At 49.3% G+C, this 16,067-nt stretch overlaps 6 annotated features.

Annotated features, from left to right (window-relative positions):
* Positions 8,592-9,092: an enhancer, noted in NCBI's record as "H3K4me1 hESC enhancer chr7:128569307-128569807 (GRCh37/hg19 assembly coordinates)". NCBI's record gives its function as "activates a minimal SCP1, AML or CMV promoter by ChIP-STARR-seq in primed H9 embryonic stem cells {active_cell/tissue: H9 hESC(primed)}" and the evidence as "EXISTENCE:reporter gene assay evidence [ECO:0000049][PMID:30033119]".
* Positions 12,988-13,157: an enhancer, noted in NCBI's record as "active region_26608". NCBI's record gives its function as "activates an Ori minimal core promoter by ATAC-STARR-seq in GM12878 lymphoblastoid cells {active_cell/tissue: GM12878}" and the evidence as "EXISTENCE:reporter gene assay evidence [ECO:0000049][PMID:35858748]".
* Positions 13,739-13,788: an enhancer, noted in NCBI's record as "active region_26609". NCBI's record gives its function as "activates an Ori minimal core promoter by ATAC-STARR-seq in GM12878 lymphoblastoid cells {active_cell/tissue: GM12878}" and the evidence as "EXISTENCE:reporter gene assay evidence [ECO:0000049][PMID:35858748]".
* Positions 14,059-14,178: an enhancer, noted in NCBI's record as "active region_26610". NCBI's record gives its function as "activates an Ori minimal core promoter by ATAC-STARR-seq in GM12878 lymphoblastoid cells {active_cell/tissue: GM12878}" and the evidence as "EXISTENCE:reporter gene assay evidence [ECO:0000049][PMID:35858748]".
* Positions 14,309-14,398: a silencer, noted in NCBI's record as "silent region_18620". NCBI's record gives its function as "represses an Ori minimal core promoter by ATAC-STARR-seq in GM12878 lymphoblastoid cells {active_cell/tissue: GM12878}" and the evidence as "EXISTENCE:reporter gene assay evidence [ECO:0000049][PMID:35858748]".
* Positions 15,594-15,888: an enhancer, noted in NCBI's record as "tiled region #2205; HepG2 Activating DNase matched - State 4:PromP". NCBI's record gives its function as "activates a minimal TATA promoter and a strong SV40 promoter by Sharpr-MPRA in HepG2 cells {active_cell/tissue: HepG2}" and the evidence as "EXISTENCE:reporter gene assay evidence [ECO:0000049][PMID:27701403]".

A 16,067-nucleotide genomic window follows, 5' to 3' on the forward strand; every position in this document is an offset into this window, starting at 1 on the left:
TTCCTGCTACTGTTAGTCCCTGGGGGGCCTCAACATTCCTTGCTGGTCATTATAACCATGTCTGCAGATCTGTGAACAGCTCCTTCTTTACATTCTCTTTAGCTAAATCGTTTTTGGGGGAATTCTGTTTCCTCCTGGGTCCTTAATTGATAGGCTAACCTTATCCACTCGCTCCACCGAGTTACTCAACCACCCCTAAGCCCAAACCCTTCATCTGTAAAATGAAGTAATACCCCCTACCTTAAGCTGGGATAATTCGACCGGGCAAACTTAATACATTGGTTCACACCTGTGTGTGTTGTACCTGGCACACAGGAGACCCCAGCATAAGGGACTCCCCATTCTTACCACCTTTGGGTTGCACTCTTCACAGTAGCAGGTTGGTTTTTTCTCTGAGTTTGGTGGCTAGAAGCAAAAGGTCACTGTGGGGAGGGAGGCAGAGAAGGGATTAGTAAATGATTAGATTTTTCTGCTTCATTTGATATCTTTTAAATCACGACAGTTGTGATAAATGAAATAAGCTGACGGGCCAGCTGAGCAGCCCCAGTGGGCGGGGGGATGTGCTTTTTATCAGAGATCTGAGATTCTAATCCCACAACTCTTATCTCACAGCCTGGCGACATCTTTCGTAAATTCAGACTATGTAGCCCACCAGTCCCCTCCCGGGAGGAATTTCCTTTGCCCGTCCTTAAAATGCCCCAACAGGTCCACCTCACTGCATTCCAGGCACAGTGCCAAGCGGCAGTGTTGCCCACTCAAGTACGAAATGTCAATCCACACCCCTGGCCGGCCGGGTCACACTCAGGGTTGGGACCCAATACTTCCTTGTTGGATGGAACCTGCTGGGATTTGAGGAGTGTGTGTGAGTTTTTTTTGTTTCCAGTATAGAAAGACCAATGCACTCAGATTGCAATATATATATATAGAACTATATATAATAAACATATAAAAAAAGATGTATATCTTTTTATATGTAATATATACAATAAATTTTACTAAAATATATATTTTTTAAATTTATTTTTTGGGGGGGTCTTGATCTGTCACCCAGGCTGGAGTGCAGTGGTGCAATCACAGCTCACCTCAGCCTCGACCGCCTGGGCTCAAGCAATCCTCCCACCTCAGCCTCCCAAGTAGCTGGGACTACAGGTGTGTGCCATCATGCCTGGCTAGTTTTCTTTATTTTTTAATTTTGTAGAGACGGGGTCTCCCCCTATGTTGTCCAGGACGGTCTCGAACTCCTGGACTCAGGCTATCCTCCCACCTCAGCCTCCCAAAGCTCTGGGATTACAGGTGTGAGCCACTGCACCCAGCCACATGGCATATCTGAACCCCATGCCACAGCCTGCCCCTGGGGACTGGGCAGGAGGTTTACAGGCACTCACACAGTGACCCCCCGCCAAGCCTGGAGGTTCTGCAGCCTGGAGGAAAACTTGCCAGTAGAGCCTCATGCCTCTTCGCACCTGGGGCTTCTTTAATCCCTTTTGACTTCTCAAAGGCTGACACCTGGGGATCCTATTAGGGTACGGAGAAGCTAAGAGGTTTGGGGAAGTGTGCTCCCCGCCTGGCATTTTCTCTTCCCACCACGGCTCTTCCTGTCCTTCCTGGCCTTGCTCTCAAACTTCCACAGTGCCCCCCCTCACAGTCCAGTAGGACTGTCTGCGATGATGGACATGTTCTAGATCTGTGCTGTCCAATATAGTGGCCACATAAAGCTATTGGCACCTGTCATACGGCTAGAGCAACTGAGTGTCTGAATTTTTCATTTTAATTAATTTCATCACTTTAATGTAACTAGCCATATGTAGCTAGTGACTACCGTACTGGGCAGCACATATTTAGACATTGAAGGCCCCAGTTCTTGAGACAATTTACTTCCACGGGCTGAGAAAGTTTTATAACAGATCCGCAATGGCTATGATGTGAATAAGGCCCCCTAGAGTTGTGAGGCACCAAGCTCCCCCTGTAGCAGCCCCGGTTTCAGGAGCCCCCCTCTGCACCCGATAGGGCAGTGATAATGACTCCTGGGCCGAGTCCTCTATGGGCACCAGGCCCATGCCAGGTGGGTTACACGGACAATGGTGATTTGTGCTCACAGCTAGGAGGTAGGTGCTATGATGGTCCCCAGGAAACTGGGACTTGGATAATTTAAGAGGCTCAGGCAGAGGAGAGGAGCTGGTTCTCCAACCCAGCTCTGGCGGGCCCCAGACTCTCCGCCACAATAGAGACCTCTGCTGGCACCCCCCAGCCCCTGTACCTGCCCCATACCTTCCAAGTGGCTTCTCGGCACACTGAGAAATTCAGCTTCTCCATGGTTTCCACAGCACTGGGTCTTCCCTCTGCTACGGCATCCAGGCTTATCTCCTCGGGCGCCAGCCCAGGGGTGCCCTGGGAGCTGGGCTTTGCCATCTCTGCACTCCCCTGCTTTTTTGGTGGGGAGAATGGCCCTGGGGGTTATTTGGATGGGCACACACAGGGGGTCTCTCCTCTAACTGCCTCAAACCATATGCAGTGCCCAGGAATTGGGTTGGGGGGCGGTCCTGAGACTCAGAAGCCCCTTTGGCCCCTGCTCCTGTGATCTTGATTTGTGGCTGCAGAATTCAGACCCCCAACAGACAAACCTGTTGGCGTTGAGCAGCCTGGGGGCTGGGTGAGGAGGGCGTATAGCCTACACCTGCCAAGGGCCCTATGCTTTGGAGCAGCTCAGCACCTGTCAGCTATTCTCTTGACTCCGTTAGTAGTCAGGCCCTGAATTGCCAATATTTGCCTTCCCCGGCTGGCTGGCCAGAGGAGACATTATCTCTCAGGAGCTTGGGTCAAGACTAGCCAAGGGTCCTCTGGACAACAGCCTGTCCTCACAGCACCATAAGTCCCACCCCACTGTTTAGAGGGAAACAGGACCTTAGACAGCAGCCGAGGCCATGGAATGGCAGCTGCTGCTGCTAAGTAATATGAAGTAGGAGCGTCCAATGCAAGGGGGTAGTTAGAGGCCAGTGGATCAAAACCGCAGCTGGGGCCCTCCCAGGGCACCAGATGTCCTGGCACCCAGTGGTGATCTCAGGGCGCTCCCCTTTTTTGTAACAGCTTTATTGAGATATAAGTCACATACCATACAATTTACCCATCTAAAGTATACAATTTAATAGTTTAGGCTGGGCATAGTGGCTCATGCCTGTAATCCCAGCACTTTGGGAGGCTGAGGCGGGAGGATTACTTAAATTCAGGAGTTTGAGATCAGCCTGGGCAACATAACAAGACCCTGTCTCTACAAAAAAAGATAAATAAAACATTAGCCAGGCATAGTGGCACATGCCTGTAGTCCCAGCTACTTGGGAGGTTGAGGTAGGAGGATTGCTTGAGCCTGGGAGGTTGAGGCTGCAGTGAGCCATGATTGTACCACTGCACTCCAGCCTGGGTGACAAAGCGAGACCCTGACTCAAAAAAAAAAAGAAAAAATTCAATATATTCACAGAGTTGTGCAACCATCACCACAATCAATTTTAGAAAATTTCATCACCCCGAAAAGAAATCCTGTACCCTATCCTCTCCCAAAGCAAACCACAAATTTACATTTTTTTTTCTCTGTGGATTTGCCTATTCTGAACATTGTATTTAAACAGGATCATACAATATGTGGTCTTTCGTGTCCGACTTCTTTCATGTAGCATGTTTTCAAGGCTCGCCTAAGTTGTAGCATGTAGCAGTACTTCATTCCTTTTTATTGACAAATAATATTCCATTGCATTTATATACCATATTTTATCCATTCATCAGTTGATAGACATTTGGGTTGTTTCTCCTTTTTGGCTGTTATGAAGAATACTGCTTAAACATTCATATACAAAGTTTGTGTGGACATGTGCTTTCATCTGTAACAGGGAATAGAATTGTGGCATTATATGGTAACTCTATGTTTAAGCTTTTTTTGTCTTTTTTTTTTAAACGGAGTGTTGCTCCATCACCCAGGCTGGAGTGCAGTGGCACGATCTCAGCTCACTGCAAACTCCACCTCCCAGATTCAAACAATTCTCCTGCCTCAGCCTCCCGAGTAGCTGGGATTACAGGAGTGTGCCACCACACCCGGCTAATTTTTGTATTTTGAGTAAAGACGGGCTTTCACCATGTTGGCCAGGCTGGTCTCAAACTACTGACCTTAAGTGATCTGACTACTTCGGCCTTCCAAAGTGCTGGGATTACAGGCATGAGCCACCACGCCCGACCTCTATGTTTAAGCTTTTGAGGAACTGCCAGACTGTTTTCCAAAGTGGCTGCACTATTGCACATTTCACACACAACAGCAGTAAGTGAGGGTTCCAATTTCTCCACATTCTTGACAATACTTCTTATTATCTGTCTTTTTTGTTATAGCCATCCTGTAAGTGTGAGTGGTATTTTACTGTGGTTTCGATTTACATTTTCCTAATGAGTAATGATGTTGAGCATCTTTTCATGTACTCATTAGACACATATATTTTAATTGGAGAAGCATCTATTCAGATCCTTTGCCTACTTTTAAACTGAGCTATTTGTCTTTTTGTCTTTTTATTATTCAATTGTAACAGTTATTTATATATTCTAGATACAAGTTGCTTATCAGGCATATGGTTAGCAAATATTTTCTCCCATTCTGTCGGTTGTCTTTTCACTTTTTTTGATGGTGTCCTTTGCAGCACAAAAGTTTTTAATTTTGATGAAATCCAATTTATGTTTTATTCTTTGTTGCTTGTGCTTTTGGTGTCATTTTAAAGGAATCATTATCTGATCTAAGGTTAGGAAGATTTATCCTTATATTTACTTATAGGAGTTTTATAGTATTAGCTCTTCTATATAGGTCTTTGATCCATTTTAGTTAATTTTTATATATTGTGTGAAGTATGGCTCTGATGTTAGTTGCATGTATGTTTATAATTATCACATCTTCCTGATGGATTACACTTTTATCATTGTAAAATGTCCCTCTTTATCTTCAGTAATTAAAAAAATTTTAAATCTACTCTGTCTGACAGTAATACAGCCCCACCAGTTTTCTTATGGTTGCTGTTTGCTATATATATATGTAGGAAATAATATATATATATGAAATACATTGGAAATCAAACAAACCAGAGTAATTAACATTTTTAATTAAAGTGGATAACGATAAATCAACATTCTGTATTTTAAAAAGTAAATCATTCAAAAACTTTGGTGGTTTATTGCTGTAAGAAATTCGTTGCAAGACATTTCAGAACTGATCAGGACAAACCTCTGGGCATCAGCATAGTCACTGTGAACTACTAGTTTAGGGTAGAGTTTCTGTCTCTGCTCTACTCATCTGCCTGGAAGTTTGACTAATAAACTTCTGAGCCCCTTCATCATCATATATATATATATATATATAATTTTTAATAATTTTAATTTTTTATTTCTCTTACATTTCCCCTTGTTTATTCACAAGAATTATATATAATTAACATGTTTGTCTAAATAAATTCAAAAGGCCATTTAAATAGAAAAGTTAAAACACAGATAAAAATATTGTATTGGTTTATTTGGCAGTTTTTTTTCTTAGTGGTACATAATATTTGCATAATTACAATTGGTGACATGATGAAACATGATACAATAAATTTAAATTAATATGAAATAGTATGATACAACATTAGGACAACAGATGCCATATGACTCTGATAATACCTCCATTTACTTTCCTAAAGTTTTGCAAAAATTTTACGCTTGGTTATCACTTCAAAAGAATGGGCAAAATCTTAATGCATGGCTTCCTACCACAGCACGTCCTCCTGACTCTTGGTATCTAACTCCTTGGAGACCAGTTTTGGGGCTTCACTCTTCACCCTCCAGGGATCTATTACTTCCTTGTTAGTGCTCCTGATCAGTGTGCTGGCTCTCTCGCTCCAAAATCTATTGATCAATTGCAGGTCATTCAAGGGCTGTTCAAAGTGGAGGGGAAATATTACTTTTCAGCTTGAGTTTTGGATGCATATTTGGTTTTAGCTTTTTTTTTTTTTTTTTTTTTTTTTTGAGACAGTCTCACTCTGCCACCCAGGCTGGAGTGCAGTGGCGTGATCTCAGCCTCCTGGGTTCAAGCAATTCTTGTGCCTCAGCCTCCTGAGTAGCTGGGATTACAGGTGTGTGCCACCACGATGGTAGATATCCATTTTTTTCTACCCTCTTATTAAATCTATTTACATCTTTAAATCTAAAGTGTGCCTCCTGTAAACAGCATATTGTTGGATCTTGTTTTTATTTTGTGTGTTTTTAAATTAATTTATTTTTATTTTATTGTTATTTTTTGGAGATAAGATGTCTTTCTTTGTTGTCCAGGCTGGAGTGCTGTGGTTCATCACGTTAGCCGTAACCTTGAACTCCTGGGCTCAAGCGATCCTCCCACTACCGCCTCCTGAGTAGCTAGGACTTACAGGTGTGTGCCACCATGCCAGGCTAATTTTTATTTCATTTTATTTTTTGTAGTGTCGGGGTCTCTTTTTGTTACCCAGGCTGAAACTCCTGGCCTCAAGCAATCCTCCTGCCTTGGACTCCCAAAGTATTGGGATTATAGGCATAAGCCACCGCAACTGGACAGATCTTATTTTTAAATTGGGTCTGACTATCTCTGCCTTTTGGTTGGATTGTTTAATCCAGTGGTGCCCAACCTTTTTGGCACCAGGGACTGGTTTCATGGAAGACAATTTTTCCACAGTGGAGGGTGGTGGTGGTGGGTGGTGGGGGGGTATGGTTTCGGGATGAAACTGTTCCACCTCAGATAATCAGGCATTAGATTCTCATAGCAGTGTGCAACCTAGATCCCTCTCATGTGCAGTTCACAATAGGGTTCCAGCTCCTATGAGAAAATGAGAATCTTTTTTTTTTTTTTTTGAGACAGAGTCTCACTTTGTCACCCAGGCTGGTGTGCAGAGGCAAGATCTTGGCTCATTGCAAACTCTGCCTCCTGGGTTCAAGCAATTCTCCTGCCTCAGCCTCCCGAGTAGCTGGGACTACAGGCACCCACCATCAGGCCCAGCTAATTTTTATATTTTTAGTAGAGATGGCGTTGTGCCATGTTGGCTAGGCTGGTCCCAACTCCTGACCTCAGGCGATCTGTCCGCCTTGGCCTCCCAAAGTGCTGGGATTACAGGTGTGAACCACTGCACCTGGCCTCCTATGAGAATCTAATGCCACCACAATCTGACAGGAGGTGGTTGCCTGCTGCTCACCTCCTGTTGTGAGGCCTGGTTCCTAAGAGGCCAGAGACGACTACCAGTCCATGGTGCAGGGGTTGGGGACCCCTGGTTTAATCCATTCACATTATCGATATACATAGTTGAATTTCCATCTGCCATTTTCTAAACATGTGATGTCTTTTTTGTTCCTCTATTTCTCCTTCAGTGCTTTTTTTTACATTAAGTGAATATTTCTAGTGGGACATTTTAATTCCTTTAATGATTTTTTTAACTACATTTTTTAGTGATTTTCATCATATTTGGTCTAGGGCTTACCTGTGGGCAGTGTACTACACTATCTTCCTGTCCCATCCAGGTAAGCTGTCCACAGCAAAGGTCCTGGGCGGAGGCCACAGCGGGAAAGTTGCCTGAAGAGCGATGCATGGCCTTGGACAAGGAAGCCCCAAGGAGGAGAACTGGGGCCTTGAGATGGCCATAGGTGGCCCCAGTGAGCAATACAGCGGCTGTAGCTTTGATGGGCATGTTTTTGGGCTGCACGGCCCTGGGAATCACCTCAGATTTATGAGTCAGAATAGATGTCCCGGCCCTAGGACAGGGGTCTGGGGTGAGGATTAAAGGGTGTGTCCTAGGGTCTGGGCACCACTGCTGTCTGGCTGCCCTGGCAACTGCCTCTGCCACCTCTGTCCCATGCCTTGAATGCCTCCCATCGTGAGCCCCTGAACTGTCCACACTCCTCTCTGCACCAGGGGCCAATAAGACTGTGGGGCAGGGCTCAGTGAGAATGGCAGCTGCCCCACCCTTCCCTTGCACATCCTAAAATGTGTCAAGGCCTGAGCTGGGACTGGCTAGCAGGCAGACAGGGGATGAAGGGCAGAGCAGGGGCATCTGATGTGGGGAGGCATCGGGAGTGGAGGCTGGTGAAATGCTCTGCCTTCTCTGGTCAGCTGAAGCCCTGCTGAGAAAGTACTGGGTCCCTATTGGAACCCACTCTCTGCACATCTGGAAATCTTTGGAAATAGACCAGAGACCAGGGTGCAGGTGTGCCATGGGACAAGGTGAAGACACAGGATCACCTACACACCAGAGTCCACCCAGTAGGACAGGGTGCCCTGCCACTCACTTAGACTTCCACAGGGGCCTGACTGAGGGCTTGAGGGGCCAGGGTTCAGCCCTTGGTTGGGGGTGGGGTGCATATTGGGAGGGAAGCTCTGCCCTTTCATCTTCACCCCAGGCCCCTGCCCCTCATCCCAGTGATGCTCAGCTTCCTGGCATCCACCACACAGTAGTGCAGGGTGCTGCCTGCCAAGCGCTGGTCCAAGGTAGAGGTGGGGGTACAGTGTCTGAGGATCCATGTGGGAGACCGCAGAGGAGAGGACCTGCCCTAGGCCTCTGACCTCCCACCCTGGCCCTCACCCCCAATCCCAGTGCTGGCTCCTGGATCCCAAAGGCTCAGAGCCCCTTGCAAGGTCTTCCCCCATGAGATCTGGGCCTCACTCCTTCTCCGCCTCTGCACCCTTGGACAGTCGAGGCTGGTGGGCCCACGTGGCCTCCACCAAACCCCTGAGTCTCCTGGGAGATATACCTGGAGCAAGAGGGGTGATTAACATACAGACCAGGACTTGCACTGGGGTATGCAGGTCAGAGAATGCACACGCACAGGTGTGCAGGTGCCCAGCTCAGCGTCAGGCCCTTCCCAGCCCTGCCAGGGGCCAGGGGGAAAGCACTCCCTCCCCCCATTAGCTGCCACCAGCCTGCCTCCCGGGGCACTCAGAACACGCACGGTCCCCGGGCCAGCTCTGCCCCTCCCACCAGGAGGTATGGGCAAGAGACAGGAGGGCGACAGAATGGAAGAAAAGGGATTTCTTCCCTCTGCCTGCAACGTTCCCAGGGCCACAGGTCCCAAAGGACGGCCCCTCTGAGGGTGGAGGTGGTTCCCAGCTGATGCTAGGCCTTGGATGCCTGGAAACTCCACAGTGGCTTTCAGAACCCTGTCTACACCTTTGCAAGTGTCCACTTCACTCAACTCTCCTCTGTCCAATATCACCTGTGTCCTGCCAGGATCCTCACCTGGAGCCACCTAGTTGGAGCGTGGGCTCTCGGCCTGGGTCCCTGGGGTAGCCAGGGAGCCTCCTGGACATCACCAAACCCCTGGAGACAGTGCTCAGTCTCCCAAGAGCTGTGGGGGAAGCAGAAGAGGGACTGGCAGGACAATTGGAGGATGGCCCAGAAGAGCCAGGCTGGAGGGAGGGAGGGAGAGTGGAGAGAAGACGGCACTACCTTGCCTCTTGGTGAAGGATGCTTCTTGGATCTGTTCTTTTTCTTTCTTTTCTATTTAAAAAAACATTACTTAGGGCCGGGTACAGTGGCTCATGCCTGTAATCCCAGCACTTTGGGAGGCCGAAGCAGGAGGATCATGAGGTCAGGAGATCAAGGCCATCCTGGCCAACATGGTGAAACCCCGTCTCTACTATAAATACAAACTTTAGCCAGGCATGGTGGTGGGTGCCTGTAGTCCCAGCTACTCGGGAGGCTGAGGCAGGAGAATTGCTTGAACCTGGGAAGCGGAGGCTGCAGTGAGCTGAGATTGTGCCACTGCACTCCAGCCTGGGTGACACGAGCAAGACTCTGTCTCAAAAAAAAAAAAAAGAAAAAAGAAAAAAAGAAAAAGGAAAAGAAAAGAAAAAAAGAAAATTACTTAAAATCTTTATTTTAGACACACTTGAAAGACTTCTTTAAAACAGTTAACATATATAAGTCTTTTGCTTAGGTACAAAGGAAAATACAAACCATATAAATTAGTTAAGCTTTTCCTAAAAAACTCCCTTTTTTTTTTTTTATACAGGTTTAAGTGATTCTCCTGCCTCAGCCTTCCAAGTAGGGTGGACTACAGGCACGCAACACCATGCCCGAGTAATTTTTTGTGTTTTTAGTAGAGACGGGTTTCACCATGTTGACCAGGCTCGTCTTAAACTCCTGACCTCGGGTGATCCACCTGCCTCAGCCTCCCAAAGTGCTGGGATTACCTGCATGAGCCACTGTGCCCAGCCAAAACTTCTTGACGTTGAGAGTTTGAATCTTCTGAATCATGAAACATTTTTAAATTTTTACATTTACATACAGTAAAATTCACTCTTTTTAGTGTACGGTTCTAGGAGTTTCGGCAAAGGTGGAGAGTTGTGTAAACACTGGCACAGTCAAGAGACAGAACCGTTCCCATCACTTCATGCCGTCCCTTAGTGGTCAGCCCTTCCCCACATCCGATCCCCTAATTTGTTCCCTGTTTCTTGATTTCTCTTGGGCCTGTTCCTGTAGTAAGGCAGCCGGGGTAGGGGGTGGCAGGCAGGCTCTTTGGGGGTCCATGATCATTCTTCTGGCACATGGGCCTCCTTCTCTACATAGACAACATGCCAGGGCCGGGGTGAGGAAGGAGGCCGCCAGCAGCCAGCTGCTTTCCATCCTTCCCCAGGCCCAGGGGAGGGAGCGGGAAAAAAGGAGGGCGTGTCCGGGGCAGCTGGGGGTGGGTCTATGGATCTCTGGGCTGGGGGAGAGTGGGAACCCACATGGCTCCCTGGCTCTGCCTGCCCCAGGGAATCAGGCAGGACGGCTGGTCATGGTGAGGCAGCCGCCCAGAACCGCCAGAGCACTGGGCATGTTCTACGGAGCAGCTACTGCTATGTTGAGTATAATCACTTCCACAGTGTGTGTCAGGCACTGGGCCGGGCCTGATCCCCGCAACAGAACAGTTGCCCCGCAACAGTTCTTTGTTGCCGACGGTGTATCGTTAGTTCCATTTTACAACGAGGACACCCAGACTTGGAGAGGTTGAACAACTTGCCGAGCTCATCCAGCTAGGACCTGAACCCAGGTCTGTCTGGTTCCCAAAGGATAAAATGTCGCTGATGGTTTAGTCTGGTTCAAGTGCCAGTGCCTCATGTCACTAGCTGCTGTGTGCCTTTGGGTAAACTGCCCCAACCTCCTGAGCTTGGCTGACTGTCCCCTGGTGCAGTCCTCTTGGGCTGTCCTATGGTCTGCTACTGCAAAGCAGAGCCTCCTTCGAGCCAGTGAAGAGGCACCATAAGCTCTTTCTTGCCTGAGCAGGCTGCCCTTTCTTCTTCCTAACTTCTCCTGCACCCCTACTCCCTAGCAACGGCCCTGGACAGGTTATCAGGGTATGTCAGTATCCCCATGGCTTTGGAGGTGCTGCTCCAGGAGAGAAAGGAGGAGGACAGGCCGGGAGACACAGAGGAGACCCGACCCTCGAGACAGGCATGGGTCGGTGGAGATGTTCCTGAATCCACAGGTCCACCGGCACACTCAGGGGCCCAGTCTGTCCGGCACAGGGGTCTGGATGGGCGTCAGAGTTCAGTTGGCTCCTGGCTTGGAGAATTGCAAAGCACCAAGGCTCCGGGACACTGGCCTAGTAAGAACCTGCCCCCAGAACCCTCTCTAATGAGGCCTGACACCCTCTTCTTCCCTGAGAGGGCTCAAGACAGGAGAGGGAGCCCTGGCCCATGGTCCCCGCCAGGGTTCTTCAGCCCCTAGGCTCTCCGCTTCCTTGAATTTCTGCTCCCAGAATCAGAGGCTACGGGAACAGGACAGACTCCTGGAGGGTGCCCCACCAAGAGCCCCCAAGGCCTGACCCATAGGGTCATAGTGTTGGCCCAGGGGTGAGCAGCTGGCAAGAGCCAAACACCAGGCCCTGCAACTCTGTGCAGCTGCCAGCCCCCAAGTGCTCCCTCTCCTTCCTGCCTCACACCTGAAATTCTCAACTTGCAACGCACCCCCACACCCTACCCGTCAGGGGCCAGAGAGGGACAGCCGGGATATGCCTCCTCATGGTTGAGTGTCGAGAGGCCACACGAGAGGAACGTCATACCCCACACCCCTCCCATGACCTAATACATCAGCGACTGCAGGCCAGAGAGTATTGGGGTCAGCCCTGGAGGGGTCCCCCACAGAGGGTAGCTCTGTCACCTCCCCACCACTCTGAGGAGAGCACCCCATGCCCTTGGGCTGGCCCTGCCATCCTGGAGAGAATCTAGTCTCTCCCCGTTTCCCATCTGAGCCCACCTGGGAGGGACCACCATCCTGCCCAGGAGCAGCCCTAGCCTTGGTTCTAAGCTGCAGAGGCTTGAGATGGATCTGGTTCAGAAATGCTTCAGAGTCTGAGGCTGGTGGCCCCCTTTACCCCACATCAAAGACGGGTGGACCTCGTGGGCCTGGCTGGGACATCTGCAGATGCTGAGCTTCAACAAGGCTCATTCTGGGACAAAAGTGCATACCGGAGGTCTTTGGCTGGTGCCTGTGGGGCTGGATTGGCATCTGTCCCCACAAAGCAGTGGCCCTAGAAGGCTGGGGTCTCCAGCTAGACTTTGTCCTTTTCCCTTTCCTCCTTGTCCAGGTGCCTCATGCTCCACAGCGAGCCCTCGAGACATGCAGGAAGGATGGATGTCCCACCCCTTCCGTAACAGAGCCCAGGAGCAGGGAAGGAAGTGGTTTGAGCACAGTGCTGAGCTAAGCAAGTTTTAGAAGCACTGAATCAGACCACGTGCAGCCAGTAGGGGAGGAGAGAAACTCTGGGCCGGTGTCCTGGAGGCCCGCGGGGGACAGGGGCACAGAGGCGCAGACTCAGGATGCTGAGCTGGGAGAGGAATCCCGGAGGAAAGTGAGAGGGCTTCAGCACGTTTATTTAAAGGGGATGGTGAGAAATCTAGGAAAGAGTGAAATCCCAAGATCTGAGGGTTTAAGTGAGAGAGGTAGGTAGAGACTGGAGTTTTGGGGGAGTTCCCGTGGGTTTCAGGGCTTGCTTGAGCTGTGGATCCAAGGCCTGGAGGACAGGGTGGGGCCAGAACAGATTCCACCGACAAGGGCAGGAGCCAGGTTGCAGGCATCAGAGAGGACAGGTGACCTGTCGGGGCCTGGAGCAAGGGCCCGGGCAGCTTCCTCCACAGGCCATGTGAAGACAGAGCCATGGATTGGGAAAGGTGGAGACTCCGAGTGTAGAGGTGTCCATGTAACAGTGCTGGCTGAATGGGGGACTTCCAGGTCACACCCCAAAAAGCTCTGAGCCGGTGTTAGTAAGAAATGGGGAGGAAGGCCCAGCTGTGGCGCCCTGGGCATTAATCCTAAAAAAAAAGATACTACTTCTATGTGCCAGAAACTTCAAAGCAAGTGAACACTTCAAGTACGAGAACCAGAGGTGTTTTTTTGTTTTTTCTTTTTTCTTTTGAGACGGAGTATCGCTCTGTCACCCAGGCTGGAGTGCAATGGTGCAATCTCGGCTCACTACAACCTCCGCCTTCTGGGTTCAAGCAATTTTCCTGCCTCAGCTTCCCGAGTAGCTGGGATTACAAGTATGAACCACCACGCCTGGCTAACTTTTGTATTTTTTTTTTTTTAGTAGAGACGGGGTTTCCCCATGTTGGCCAGGCTGGTCTCGATCTCCTGACCTCAGGTCATCCACCTGCCTCAGCCTCCCAAAGTGCTGGGATTACAGGCGTGAGCCACCCCACCCGGCCAAGAGGTGTTAAAATCTAAATCAGACTATGTCATGCCTCAGATCTGAACCTTTCAGTGACTGTCCCTAGCAAAGCCATAGCCTGTGAGGTGCCCCTCAAGGCCTCACCCGATTTCATTACTTGAGGATTTATCGTCTATCTTACTCTGCAGAATGGAAGCTCCAGGAGGGCAGGGGTTTTTAGACAAAGTAGAAATTGTCCACCACTTTATCCTGGCAGGTACAACATGCCCGATAAGCATTGTTGAATGTAGACTCACAGCCAATTCGTGACACTGGTGTCACCATTCTCCTTTACAGATGGGAAATGGGGCTTCTGGGGGAGTGAATGGCTTGCTTAGGTCACGCAATTCTAGATTGCAGAGTGAGGATTTGACTCAGACCTGTTGACCTCAGAGCCTGATGTCCAGCCAACAAGTTCTCAGAAACTCGGGGTTTCTGAGAAATAGGACAGTCAGCCTGGGGACCCCTGAGAGCCCAGGCCGAGGGGGTGGGTTTCCTGGGGTAGAGGTTTTGAGAGGCAAAGGCAGTTGTCATCAACCCAGGCTGCACTGAAGGGGGCTGTTCCAGAGCCAGGGTGCATTGTTCAGCTGCCCAGTGGGCCTCTGGGTTTCTTTCAGTTCCCTTTGGTGACACGGCTTCCCTCCTCCCCCCTGCTCCCCACCCCAGCCACCCCACTCTACACTCGCTCACACAGCGTAGCTTCTACTCGAGTCAGGGGAGGGTGCCTCCTACCACACCCTCAGTCTGTGATATTCCAGCCAGGGGAAATGGGGGAAGGGGCCATCTCACTGTGGGGAGTGGGGGGCCCGGACAGACCTCCCTGTCCCCACCGCCTCCTGGCCCATCAAGGGGAAATGGGAGTGCTCACACAAGGGCCGGGTGTGGCTTCACTTCCCCTCTACTTGCCCTTCCACCCCCAGGATGGCACTGGGAGGCCAAGGGATCCCAGATCCTGGAAACACTGGAGTGCTGCTCTCTGTCCTTCCTTTCTCCTGGGCCATGTCTCTGGCCCCAGATGATTCTTGGCTCAGGTTCTTTCAGTTGAGGGAAGTCAGGATCTGAGCCAAGCTGAGCCCCTGCATAGCCTCTATCCCGGGAGCCCCATATCAATGCTGCCGGCTTGGTAACATCATCCCCCTTTTAGAGACGAGGAAATGAGATTTGAGGTCCTACTTAAGGCCACTTGGCTGGAATACAGCAAAGCCAGGTGCAAGCCCCTTCTCTGCACGCAGCCCGTGCTGCTTCTTGAGGTTCAGAGGCTCTAAGGAAGGGGCCTCACCTGAGCAAGATGGACAGTGGGAAGGGGGCAGAGGGCAGAATTCTAGGGTCTCACGGTCCCTCAGAATGGGTGAGGAGTATTTGATAACAAAAGAAGGCTCTTCTTAGCTATTGCTCCAGATACGACCAGCATAGAATATTTTTCTATTAAGCATAACTGACCTCCAGTGAAAAAGGTTCCCATTTTGTGGGGAGCCACTTTTGAAATAGCAATTTCATTTTATTATTATTATTTTGAGATAAGATCTCACTTCTACGCCCAGGCTGGAGTGCGGTGGTGTGCCTCCTGGGTTCAAGCAATTCTCCCACCTCAGCCTCCCAAGTAGGTGGAACTATAGGTGTGTGTCACCACGCCAGGCTAATTTTTGTATTTTTTGTAGAGACAAGGTTTTGCCATATTGCCCAGGCTGGTCTCGAACTCTTGGACTCAAGTGATCTGCCTGCCTTAGCCTCTCAAAGTGTTGGGATTACAAATGTGAGCCACCGTGCCTGGCCTAGCAATTTCATTTTTAAAGAAAGAAATATAAAACGATCTACCCATTCACATTTTCCCCATCCATACTTTAAATTTTAAAAATATGAAATAATGAAATACTCAGCAGATACAAATAATAAAATACTTATATATAATGATATTTCGACTTCATATTAGGGCTTCAAAGGTCAGGAAAGAGGGAGAGATACAGAAGAGAAAAAAAAAAAACGTTAACACATGAGTGTCTTTTTTTAACTTGTTAAAGGTAAAGTTCAACCCAGGAGAAGGGAGGGGAGGGAAGGTCAAAGTTCTGATTCATCAACAAATACTACTTTATTTGTTAAAAATACAAGGCTCTGCTTGGCGCAGTGGCTCCCGCCTGTAATCCCAGCACTTTGGGAGGCCAAGGCGGGTGGATCGCCTGAGGTCAGGAGCTCGAGACCAGCCTGGCCAACATGGTGAAACCCCGTCTCTACTTGGGAGGCTGAGGCAGGAGAATCGCTTGAACTGGGGAGGCAGAGGTTGCAGTGAGCTGAGATCGCACTGCTGCACTCCAGCCCGGGTGACAGAGCAAGACTCCATATCAAAAAATAAAATAAAATAAAATGAACAA

Source organism: Homo sapiens, chromosome 7 (genome assembly GCF_000001405.40).
Source record: "Homo sapiens chromosome 7, GRCh38.p14 Primary Assembly".
Classification (NCBI taxonomy): Eukaryota; Metazoa; Chordata; class Mammalia; order Primates; family Hominidae; genus Homo; species Homo sapiens.